Below are 13,029 nucleotides of genomic sequence, written 5' to 3'. Positions count from 1 at the left end.
CCTCCCACTGTTTCCAGGCAGCAGCCTGCTGCAGACACAGAGTTCTTGGGAAACCTCTACTAGGGCAGTGCAGAAGGAAAATACGGACTTGGAGCCCCCACACAGGGCTACCACCCTCCAGACCCCAGATTCAGAGACCCACCAACAGCTTGCACCCTCAGTGTGGATGAGCTACAGGCACTGAACACTAGTCCAGTCCATGAGAGCAGCCATGGGGGCTCAAACCTGCAAAGCCACAGGTGCACTGCCCTAGTAATGGTTTTACATGAGGCTCTGCCTCTGCAGCATGCTACTCCCCCTTCCTACTACCCACGACCCTCCCACCACCCTACAGCCAGCCTACTCATTCCCACCCTACCCACCCCTTTTTCCATCCACACCCACCCCTGCTTATCCATGATTAAATCACTTCCTCCCTCTCCCTCATCTTTCTGTCATGCTCTAATCCCTCCAAACCCTCCCAATCTTTGTTTGCTACCCACTACTGAGCCTGCTTCTACTTTTTCAGGTATCTCTATAGCAGGTTGGCTATGTAGCAATAACACAAACCCCATTTAAGGGGAAAAATTCAAGAAGACTTCAGAAATTTGCATATAAAGAAGCCCTGTGCTAATAGCCAAGACAAAGGGAAAAAGGCCTTGAAGACATTTCACAGCTCTCTCTGCAGTTCTAATTTTCTCTATTATTGTAAATGAAAGAGGTTTAATTGAATCATGGTTTTGCAAGCTGTGAAGGAAGCATAGTGTCTTCCGTTTCTGGGAGGAATCAAGAAGCCTCCTAATTATACCAAAAGCCAAGACAATGAGATATCTCCTAAGGCAGGAGTAGGAGGAAGACAGAGTGAGGAAAGAGGTTCCACAGCCTTTTAAACAACCAGATCTCATGAGAACTCACTCGCTATCAGGAGGACAGCATCAAGGTGATGGTCCTTTATCATTCATGGAGAACCTACCCGCACCCTTTTATAACTAAATCTTTTTCCACCTAGGCCCCACCTCTAACATTAGGGAGTATAATTCCACATGGGTTTTGATACGGACACAGAGACAAACCATATTATTCTGTCCCTGATCCCATGAATATCATGTCCTTCTCACATTGCAAAATACAATCATGCCTTGCCAGAATGAGTCTTAACTCATTTCAGCATTAACTCAAACTTAGAAAGTCCAAAATCTCATCTGAGTCAAGGCTACAGTCTCTTTTTCCTATGAGCCTCTGAAATAAAAAGCAAGTTCACAGCTTCTAACGTATAACGATGGTACAGGCATTGTGTAAGCTTTCCATATTCAAAAGGAAGACCTTTTCCAGAAAGCTTCTTATTTCTATCTGAGACCTCCTCAGCCTGGCCTTCACTATCCATGTTTGTGCCAGGATTTTTATCACAACCATTTAACCAGTCTCTAAGATAGTCCAAAAATTTTCTCATTGTCTTCTTTTCAGCCCTCCAAACTCTTCCAACCTCTGCCCATTACCTAGTTCCAAAGCTGCCTCCACATTTTCAGGTATCTTTATAGCAATGCTGCAATCGTCATTTGCCATTTTCTGTTTGATTCATTTTGAAAAAGAGGTTTAATTGGCTCATGGTTCTGCAGGGTGGACAGGAAGCACAGGGCTTCTTATTCTGGGAGGCCTCAGAAATCTTTCAATCTTTGCACAAGGCAAAGAAAGAGTGAGTTGTCTCACATGGCAAGAGGAAAACACGCAGAGTAGGGAGGTGACATAGAGTTTTCAGTAGCCAGATCTCACGAGAAGTCACTCATGATTGTGAGGATGGTACAAGGGGATGGTGCTGAACCATTCATGAGAAATTTGCCTTCATAAATCAATTGCCTTATACCAGGATCCACCTTCCACATTAGGAAATATAATTAAATATGAGATTTGGTGGGGACACATATTCGAATTGCATCATCAGTCTTTGAGTATAAAGACATGCACAGCAGGCTTTATCCAGCCAACTTATTTGGGACTCTTTATAGGGTTTGTGGTCTACGGCATATACACTAAAATATTCATACTTCAAAAAGCAGTAAAGTGGTATTATCATTCTTCCAAAAGTTACATTGGTAGTTTAGGCATTCATGGCATGATTTAGTTTGTGTTTGCTACTGTTTCTATTCTGTCAACATATTAACTGTTTCCTACACAATTCTGTATTCAGCTGGATTTCAGTTGAGCACAAAACCATCCTTGTGCTACCACGGATAGCTGGCACTAGCTCCTTGCTAGTGTTATTATTCTGTGTAGAAAGTATCCTTGAACTGTAAACAGTCCACAATCAAATATCTAGTAATTCAACACTATCAATTCCTGGATGATTTTTGAAAAAATAGTATCTCTTTTTGCAAGAAATGCTGCATCTGTGATTTCATGTCTCTCATTCAAATTGGATGGAAGTGGTGAATTTCCACTGAAGTGGTGAAAGAATTCCTGTTCCTGTGATTCTGATGTCATCAGCCTCTGCATCTCTATCTTCCCTTCTGCCACATGTTGCCTGCCTTCTGCGACTTTGGTAAGAACTTGCTTGTGTATGTGGATGATGTTCAGGATGTTGGTCTGGTGTCCCTGAGACAGTACTAACAGGTCCATGACTGGGTCCAGGTTCTGCCTGGGATGATTGGCAAAGAGCTCACTGACAGTGTTGAAGGCATCTGTGGTGAAGTGGATGGGCTGGTCCAGCTCCAAGGCCTGGCTGAGGCTGAAGAACTGGCAGCCTTCTGATGCTCTTTCTTAAAGCCTGTCACCATCACCTGCTTGCATGTCAACTCATTGGCTGTGAAGTTAAGCTGAGTGCCCTGTTGTCCATCTTCTTGGTGAAGCATTTGAAGCTGTCAATCTTGCTCTCCCACTCCTAAAGTTTGAGTGTCACCCTGGAGGTGGGCTCAGAGCCAGGGAGAATCTGGCACTCACCATCTCATCCTTCTCAGCCTTCCTCTTGCCCTGTCTCCAGGCTGTCTCTTCAGTGCTGGTGTGGCACATCAGGAAGTGATGGAAGATGTGGCACTGTGCCTGCACCCAGAAGCTGGCCGTGTGGTTCATCTACCAGACTGGGCCCTTTCTGCACTTGAACATAGAATCCTCCTCAAGAGGGCCTGTGGTCTGCCTCTTGGCACCCAAGAAGCCCACAGTGCTGTAGGAGCCCTGATGCATGGATTGGAGCCCCGATGCATGGATTGGAGCCCCAAAGGCAGCGCAAACCCTGCTCCTGAGCCTGCTGCTCATTTCCTCTATGTGGCTCCATTTGCAGCACAGTTGTTGAACTGAGGCTTGTGCATGCCAGGCAAGGCCAAGTTGGCTCAAAGAGCAACCAGCCACCTCTGCAAGGGTGTGCCAGGAGCAGGTGGACCAGCCACCAACCTCACTTGCAGTAAATCAGTTACTCTGCCCTGGAGGTAGGGCCCCAGTGCCATCTGCTTTTCCTCAGGCCTCCACTCCATCAGCTGTCAGGTGGTGGTCACTCGGGGTGTGGGAACCTGGCCATCCCTGTTTCCTTGAGTCGGTGAGGTTGGTGGCTGGTCCACCTGCTCCTGGCAAACCCTTGCAGAGGTGGCTGGTTGCTCTGAGCCAGCTTGGACTTACTTGGCATGCACAGGCCCCGGGTACTGACAAGCTGCTCCGAGTGAGCTTGTCTTGTCTTGGGCCAAATTCTAAGTCTGGCCAGGGCCACAGAAGGCTGAGTCCCCTGGGTGGTAACCCTGGCTGCTGCAGGGAGGCCCATGGTGCTCCTCCCCTCCCAGGGCTCAGGATGAGGTTCAACTGGGACAGGACCCTTTAGGTATGGGACTTGTGCCCCAGGAGGGGGCCTCTGTCACACAGGTTGGGTAAGATGTATGGCATGCTGCTGGCTTCCAGGGCTGTTGGGATGACACATTCACCCTTCCCTCCAGGGACCTCAAAATGACCAGCTTCCCCTTTGAGAATGACTTCCCAAGGCCTAGGAGCCATCTGGGGCTGCAGGGCAGCTGGCTGCATGCTGCCCTGACTTCTTCCATGTTGTGCTGGTCACTACCCACCAAGGGGGTCAGATGCAGGCACCATGCAGGGCGGTTGTCTCTGGACCTGCGTCTTGGTTATCATGGAGCTGGACTGGGCCTGGGTGAGAGGGCCTGATGGGGTTGTCCTGGGTAATCACGGGGGTGACTAGAAAAGATGCAGAATGGAATTGCTGCGAGGATGAACGAGATGACTGTCAGCACAGAATAGGCATCCGGTGAGTGTTCAGGGATTACCCTCAGTAGCTGCCCAGAGGCCAAAACCACCCACCTGATAGCGACTGTCCCCAAGCTAGGAGGAAGAGAAGAGAGCAGGTCCCACTCACCTGAGTCTGATCAGTCAGCTGTGTTGAGATGTGCCTCTCACCTAGAAAACGGTCCTTCATGCAGAGCCACTCAGACACCACAGTGTGTCTCTAACTGCTCCACAACACAGAGGCGATGGGGGCTCAGCAACAGTAACATTGTGGGGTGACACAACCCACCACAATGGGAGCCTGCATGGGTCAGCAGGGCCCAGAGTCAGTGTCCTCTATCCCCTGAACTGACATGTGTGGATGCAGTGTGTTTGTGCATGTGTGTGTGCCTGTGTGTGTGTGTGCACATATGTGTGTGTGTGTTTCTCTTGCTTCTCTGGCCAGGCCTAGCTTCTCCACTCACAGGTGCACCCAGGTCATCACTGAGGGCTCATGGCCAGCATTAGAGCTTCTACAGGTGCTCCCCAATCTCTGCCTTCCCCACCCATGGTGGTCCTGGGGATGCAGAGAGAGGAGGGGCACCAGGCACAGCAGAGAGGGCTGGCACCCCCTCTAGGTAGAACACAAGTCATGTGTAAAGTTGTAGGTCTGCCAAGTGGTGCTGGATTCAACACATCTTCTCACCTTCTCTTTCCAGCCACCCTCCAAGGTGCCCTGACTCACCTTCCCTGCAGATGGAGGCAAGGAGACTCCACAGACAAACCCCCTGCCTGAGGTCACACAGTGGCCAGCTGGCCAGGTTCCTACTGACCAGCCGCCCAGGACCAGTTTCCCACTGATGAGGCCTCTAATGACCACTCCTCCATTTACCAATTCCCACTGACCAAGTCCCCACTGACCATGTCTTCCTAACCAGGCTCACACTTAATAGGCCTCATAGGCCAGACCTCACTGACCAATTTCCCACTGACCTGGTCCCCACTGACCAGGTTCCCACTGACAAGACCACAATTGACCAGGTCGCTGCTCACCTGACCCCCACTGAACAATTTTCCATGGATCAGTCCCCAGCTGACTGAGCCCCCTCTGACCAGGCCCTCACTAACGAGGCTCCAAGCCACTAAGGCCCCACACTGACCAGGCCCCTAGTATACTGTATAGGCCCCACCAACCAGTTTTTCATTGTTTATGTTCCAACCCATCAGGCCTCACTAAGAAGACCATCACTGACCAGGTCCCCATGAACTGGGCTTCCAATGACTAGGTCACCAGGTCCCCACTGATGAGGCCTTTACTGAGGAGGCCACCACTAACCAGGTCCCAACTGACTAGGTCCTGATGACCAGGTCATCTCTGAGCATGGTCCACTGACCAGGCCCCTGAGCAGCATGCTCAAAGTCTCATTACAATGCCCCCCTCAGCCCACAGACCCTCCCTCCCTGTATGTGTGCCCAGAGGTCAGGCCCTGGGTTTTTTTTTTGGGACATGGCTTTTCCTCCAAGACAGAGGGAGAGACAGCTGGCCTCAGGCTCCAGGTGCCCAGCTCCACACTCACCCCAAAAGCCCTCTGGGCCAATCTCAAAGGAGATAGTGAGGTGGCCTGGCACTGCCTGGACATGCCATGTAGCCTATTCCTGAGTGTCAGAGTGGGAGGAAGGCAGGGACATTTGGCAGATGAGACATCTTGTGCTGTTGGGCATCCCAGGGCCCTACCCACAGAGTCCCGATCTACAGACACAGCACAGAGACTAATGCAGAACCCTTGAGGCTGAGCCAGGGACCACATGAGGATTGTGCCCAGACAGCCAGAAGGCCCTTTGCTAATTTCTTGGTACCTCATGGATGCGGCAGCGGTTGTTCTGTTGGGGACCAGTGATCACGTGCTGGGGAGGGCTCGCCTGTGCTTCCTCAGTGGCTCCACCTCTGCTTCTAAGAAAAATCACTCATTCCATGGCTGGAGCAGAGAAAATACAACATTAGCTTAGAACATCTTGTTCCAGAAACTAAAAAAGTGCTGACAGAGTAACGAAGACAAATAAAAAAGACAAGAAGTCAGCTTGAAATGTCTACCACTGGCCTAATCTTGGGGAATTGGAGCACGAGAATCATGAGCTTTCTCTTCTCAGTTATTTATTGGTTTTACTTCTCCATGTACAGCAAAGAAGAGAAGAAAATAATCATCTGGCAACCATCATAGTAATAATTGTTCAAACACAAGTCATCCATGAAATGCTAAATCTAGTGGGTTCTGAGGAGTAACTGGATATTTACAGAGCCTCAAAGTATCTCCCCACAAAACACGGTTCAACTACAAAAAGAAAATTGTCACATTAGCATAGACAAGCCTGGCAGGTACTCCTTAACTCCCCTAAGTAGTAAAAGCTGTAAAATGCAAAGAAGCCTTCGATGACATTTACTAAAGTATCAATGATGACTTGGTTGTTTGGCTGTTTAAACAGCTGACTTTTGGGCAATTTGAGTACATCAAACTCAATAATACTAGTGTTCATTTGCAAGATCCACTTAAAACTTAAGGAGGCTAATTTCATCCATGTCCCTACAAAGGACATGAACTCATCATTTTTTATGGCTGCATAGTATTCCATGGTATATATGTGCCACATTTTCTTAAACCAGTCTATCATTGTTGGACATTTGGGTTGGTTCCAAGTCTTTGCTATTGTGAATAATGTCGCAATAAACATACGTGTGCATGTGTCTTTATAGCAGCATGATTTATAGTCATTTGGGTATATACCCAGTAATGGGATGGCTGGGTCAAATGGTATTTCTAGTTCTAGATCCCTGAGGAATCGCCACACTGACTTCCACAATGGTTGAACTAGTTTACAGTCCCACCAACAGTGTAAAAGTGTTCCTATTTCTCCACATCCTCTCCAGCACCTGTTGTTTCCTGACTTTTTAATGATCGCCATTCTAACTGGTGTGAGATGGTATCTCATTGTGGTTTTGATTTGCATTTCTCTGATGGCCAGTGATGATGAGCATTTTTTCATGTGTTTTTTGGCTGCATAAATGTCTTCTTTTGAGAAGTGTCTTCATTCTCAGTAAACTATCGCAAGAACAAAAAACCAAACACCACATATTCTCACTCATAGGTGGGAATTGAACAATGAGATCACATGGACACAGGAAGGGGAATATCACACTCTGGGGACTGTTGTGGGGTGGGGGGAGGGGGGAGGGATAGCATTGGGAGATATACCTAATGCTAGATGACGAGTTAGTGGGTGCAGCGCACCAGCACGGCACATGTATACATATGTAACTAACCTGCACAATGTGCACATGTACCCTAAAACTTAAAGTATAATAAAAAAAAAAGAAAAGAAAAAACTTGAGGCTAAAAAACATCATTTAAATTACCCTATAAATTATCATCACACATGTGATACAAAAACATCCTACTTCAGTAAAGATTGTAATGTTATATATTTTATGAAAAACAATTAAAATGTTCTGTAAACAGCCCAGTAATAAAGTTTTATAATCTTTTAAATAATAAAATTTTTCCTTAAGACTTTATGGTTAAACATTCTCTTCATTAGATGTGGCTTACCAGTGGATTATAGAGAAGTAAGTAGACGGGAGCAAGTGTTCAACACAGCAACAACTGGAAAGAAAAAGAAAGAATTATGTTCTTTACCTAATACACTTCAGTTAACTAAATGTGAGTTTAAATACTAAAGAGTTGAGAACTTTATCAGAGTTAGTAAGAATGAGAAATATCTATGTACATTTACAACACAAAATTACTATTAAATAATTTACACATGGCATTAATTCTATTGTGTTTAAATATCAGAGGTTTTTCATTCTTCATTCATGTAATCAACAGCCACGTGCTAAGGTACTAGAACCAGCACTGGAATTCCAAGATGAAGATGGCATGGTCCACCTCCCAATAGTCATATGCTATAACCTAAAAAAACAGACAGGTAGGCAAGGTCCACATAGTGTCATAGATACCATGACAGGTATACAGCAGGGCACTACTGGAACACACAAAAGGGACATCTATCCCACTTTTATGTCAATGTCATGGGCTTTCTGGTGGAGGAGATAACATAGGTTGATACCTGAAGGACAAGGAAAAGCTTGCCAGATAGAGGGAAGAGGCGAAGGCCAAGAGCCTGAGGTGAGGAAGAGCCCTGCGGAGTTCTACTCTCCTCCACTTTGGTGCTAGAGCAAAGGGTAGAGTGCGGTAAGTGGCAAAAAACAAGGCTGAGTAACTTGACAAGAATCACATTGATGTGGGTGTTTTTATTTCATGGTGAAAAATTTGGAACTTTTCCTGAGAACAGATGTAAGCCAATGACACAGTAAATGATAGGAGATTTAAAATGTCACCTGTCAAGTGACTGCTTATGAAGGGTTATTGCCCAGCTAAGGATTTCAAAATGAGTCTGAGGTCTGTTGGCCTTCAATCTGTACCAAAACCCTGAGAACTTGGTGATGCCTTTGTTTTCTGAGAATCGTTTCAGTGTGCTGGCTGACAGTTCCATGATGATGGCAAAACTTAAGAAAGTGTAGAGCCAGTAAAAAACAGATGCATAGACTTCTTGGGAATTTTTTAAGCTATGGAACATGATGAATTTATGGTGCATAAGTACAGTCTTCTCTGTGAAAGTTTTTGTTTTCACATCTTGCATTAGATGTGTGTAAGAAAAAAAATACTTGACATAGTATCTACTAACCAAACAATGAAAAGGAATGCCATTTGTTATTTACACTTAATTTCTAAAATAAACCTAAATGTAATTAATAAATTTTGGCAACATACTTCTCTTTGTTTCTCTAGTTATTTGTTCTACACAGTCCAGCTCCATCTAAAATAAGTAAAAATAATAATAATGTTTAAGTTAAACAAGAAACATTATCATGCAAATAATGTATCACTTACAAAATGTGGCCTTTAGTATTTTTAGTGACTAGACATAACTTGAAGTTTGCTTAAATAGAAAAATAATCACATAAATGAAGTAAAATTTCTACTTATTTTAAGTTTAGATAAGAGGATGCACCTGTGTAATGCTGTTTAATCAGACAAAAATACAGTTAATATTGGTCTACTGCATATACATGATTTTAGAAAGGTAGTGTTTTATTAGTACAAAGGTTAAACAATGGCCAGGTGTGGTGACTCATGCCTGTAATCCCAGCACTTGGGGAGGCCAAAGCAGGCAGATCATGAGGTCAGGAGATCGAGACCATCCTGGCCAACATGGGGAAACCCTGTCTCTATTAAAAATACAAAAATTAGCTGGGCATGGTGGTGCACTCTTGTAGTCCCAGCTACTCAGGAGGCTAAGACAGGAGAATTGCTTGAAGCCAGGAGGTGGAGGTTGCAGTGAGCCAAGATTGCACCACTGCACTCCAGCCTGGTGATACAGTGAGACCTTGTCTCAAAAAAAAAAAAAAAATTAAATAATTAAAGTCATCTTTTGCAATGAATGCATTGCTTTGAAATTCTTAGCAAAACTCTGCCCTATATACAAGTTTAATCCAATGTTTTTACATCAATAAATTTTATCTTAAAAAGAAATTTCTATTCTCTACTTATAGTAAACTTTTTTAATAGTAAATTTTTGTGTTTTTTTGTTTGTTTCTTTTTTTCTAGTTTGTATTCTAAATTAAGGTGGTACCTGTGTAGGCTTCTTCCAAGAGTATATTGAGGGATGCCGAGGTTTGGAGTACAGTGGAACCCATCACACAGGTAGTAAGCATAGGACCCAATAAGTAGTTTTCCAACCCTGGCCCACTCTGTCCCTCACTGTTCTTATTTCCCAGTGTCTACTGTTCCCAGGTTTATGACAATGTGCACCCAATGTGCAGCTCCCACATAAGTGAAAACATGAGATATTTGGTTTCTGTGTTAGTTTGCTTAGGATAGTGGATTCCAGCTGTATCCATGTTGCTGCAAAGGACATGATTTTGTTCTTTTCTTGGCTGCATAGTATTCCATGGTATGTATGGAACATTCCAATCTACCTTGGATTTTCAATCTGCCTTGGATGCACCTGGATTGACTCCATGTCTTTGCTGCTTTGAATAGTGCTGCAATGAACACACATGTGCAAGCATCTTTTTATTACAATGATTTATTGTCCTTTAGGTATACGCCTAGTATAGTAATGGGATTGCTGCATCCAACGGTCATCCTTAGTTCTTAATTTCCAAACTGCTCTCCATAGTAGCTGAACTAATTTACATTGCCACAAACGGTGTGTGTTCCCTTTTCTCCACTGCTTCCCCAACATCTTTTTTTTTTTCTTTTTACTTTTCAACAAGTTATTCTGACTGGTGTGAAATGGTATCTCACTGATGTTTTGTTTGGCACTTTTCTGATGATTAACAATGGTAAGCATTTGTTAATATGTTTGTTGGCCACTTACATGTGTTATTTTGAGAAGTGTCTGTTCACGTCCTTTGCCCATTTTTAATGGTGTTATTTATTTTTTGCTTGTTGATTTGTTTAGATCTCTTATGGATTCTGGATAATAGGCGTTTGCTGTATCCATAGTTTGTGAATGTTTTCTTCCATTCTCTACGCTGTCTGTTTAATCCTGTGATAGTTTCTCATGCTGTGCAGAAGCTCTTTAGCTTAATTAGATCATACTTATCAATTTTTGTTATTCTTGCAATTGCTTTTGAGGACTTAGCCATAAATTAATTGAGAAGTATGAAGTCCAGAAGAGTATTTCCTAGGTTTTCTTCCAGGATTTTTATAGTCAGAGAATGTACTCTTACGTAAGAAAAGCATAAACCTTTTTTTTTTTTTTTTTTTTTGAGACAGAGTCTCCATCACATAGGCTATAGTGCAGTGGTATGATCTTGGTTCACTGCAACCTCTGTCTCCCGGGTTCAGGTGACTCTCCCGCCTCAGCCTCCCGAGTATCTGAGATTACACATGCCTGCCAACATGCCTTGCTAATTTTTGTATTTTTAGTAGAGATGGGTTTCATCATGTTGGCCAGGCTGGTCTCAAACTCCTGACCTCAGGTGATCCACATGCCTTGGCTTCCCAAAATGTTGGGATTGTAAGTGTGAGCCACGGCACCTGGCCAAGCACAAAGCTTTGAACATAAAAATGGAAATGAACATTTTAGTGTTTTGTTTAATTCATAAAATGCAATTATTTTGGATTCTACTAAATAATAAACATCTATATGTGGTAAACTGTTTGGATGCCAATCATTCAGTTGTGATTATGGGTGGAAAGAGTTGAGATGGTGCAACTAAACTTTTTTTTAAATTTTTTATATTCAAGATGAAGTCTCACCCTGTCACTCAGGCTGGAGTTCAGTGGCACGATCTCGGCTCACTGCAACCTCCGCCTCCTGGGTTCAAGCAATTCTCTGCCTCAGCCTCCCTAGTAGCTGGGATTACAGGTGCTCTCCACCACACCTGGCTAATTTTTTTTTTCTACTTTTTGTACTTTCACCATCTTGGCCAGGCTGGTCTTGAACTCCTGACATTCTGACACACCTGCCTCAGCCTCCCAAAGTGCTGGGATTACAGACATGAGCCACCACACCTGGCTGGTGCAAAGAAACTTTAAAAGTGACATGGGCTGGACGTGGTAGCTCATGCCTGTTATCCCAGCGCTTTGGGAGGCTGAGGCAGGCAGATCACAAGGTCAGGAGTTTGAGAAGAGCCTGGCCAATATGGTGAAACCCTGTCTCTACTAAAAATACAAACATTAGCTGGGTGTAATGGCAGGTGCCTGTAGTCTCAGCTACTTGGGAGGCTGAGGCAGGAAAATCGCTTGAACCTGGGAGGTGGAGGTTGCAGTGAGCCAAGATGGTGCCACAACACTCCAGCCTGGGCAATAGAGTGAAACACTGTTTCAATGAAAAAAAAAGGGGGGGCTGTATGAACCACAGCTAAACTATAATCAATTAGAGAGTAAGCCAAAGCATCTCAAACTATATCATCAGTTATCAGGCAATAATATGCAATTTCTAAAACCTAACTTAAATGCAGCTTTTAAAGACATTTTAAATGTGTCAGTTTAGTCACATTTATTGAATAAAGTTAGTAAACGGGTATCTCTTGAAAATGAGAGCTCCAGGGAATTAAAAAATGTAAAGTTTCCATTTCCTTTCTGTGTTAACACAGTTAATTATGATCTTTACTAAACATGCATAAGTCAACAGAACTCAGTATTTCACCAAATTAAAAACAAGAATTATATTAGAGAAATGAAACCCAAAAGAGAAATGGTCATGTAACTGACCACAGTCAAGGAGTTCTTGCAGTTATTTGAAGTCTGTGGGCTTGAAATAGGAATTCTTATGGGTGTTTGGGGAATATATTTTCTGTTGAGTCCTATACTAGTAAGATTTTCAACACAAGGTGACTCTGGGTCTCGCCTTGTAGGAAGAGTGCTGAGAAAATATTTCATCTGCTCTTTCTCCATAAGGAGCTTCATGCTGATCACTGCTATTTTCTTATTTGATCTGTAAAGATAGCAAAGACACACGCTTAGTATTTCATTTTTCCTCTGATTCTTAATGACTTGCAGTTTTTAAAAACTTGCCCTGAGAGCAAACTAAATTATCCACTAAACAGTGTTTTCACACTGAAGATGTGTGAGAGCATACCTGTTGTAAGCAAGTATAATTTTAAAATCATTCTAAAGAAGCACCTGTGTTTCTAAGGTGATTTATACTGAACAAGCAGTACAAACAAAGTAGACAGGGAAGAGAAATGGCTATCAGTGATATATGGCTCAACAGGTAACACTTGCTGCCTTCTAAAAGGGCTCTACTTGTGAGATTCTGAAGATTCCATTAGAAATACTCATATTTAAA

The 13,029-nt window shown here is 43.8% G+C and overlaps 1 protein-coding gene and 1 pseudogene across 7 annotated transcripts in view; both read right to left on the bottom strand.

Annotated features, from left to right (window-relative positions):
* The window catches only part of LOC112268044 (ankyrin repeat domain-containing protein 18B-like), a 60,842-nt gene that overhangs the window by 29,100 nt on the left and 18,713 nt on the right, over positions 1-13,029 (bottom strand). For 6 of the 7 annotated variants that reach the window (XM_047424292.1, XM_047424291.1, XM_047424293.1 and 3 more), the window contains exons 6-9: positions 12,453-12,675; positions 8,997-9,042; positions 7,773-7,826; positions 6,028-6,146 (exon numbers count right to left, since the gene is read on the bottom strand). In XM_047424292.1, the coding sequence (XP_047280248.1) occupies positions 7,780-7,826; positions 8,997-9,042; positions 12,453-12,675 (316 nt within the window). In that variant the 3' untranslated portion in view covers positions 6,028-6,146; positions 7,773-7,779. Of the gene's footprint in view, positions 1-1,163; positions 4,144-4,321; positions 4,493-6,027; positions 6,147-7,772; positions 7,827-8,996; positions 9,043-12,452; positions 12,676-13,029 lie in introns of those variants that run through there. The other variant, XM_047424296.1, reaches the window with a different exon arrangement.
* On the bottom strand, positions 2,313-3,708 carry SNX18P5 (sorting nexin 18 pseudogene 5; annotated as a pseudogene).

Source organism: Homo sapiens, chromosome 9 (genome assembly GCF_000001405.40).
Source record: "Homo sapiens chromosome 9, GRCh38.p14 Primary Assembly".
In the NCBI taxonomy this organism is placed as follows: domain Eukaryota; kingdom Metazoa; phylum Chordata; class Mammalia; order Primates; family Hominidae; genus Homo; species Homo sapiens.
Note: the sequence above shows the minus strand (reverse complement) of the source record. Positions and strands in the feature narration are given on the sequence as shown.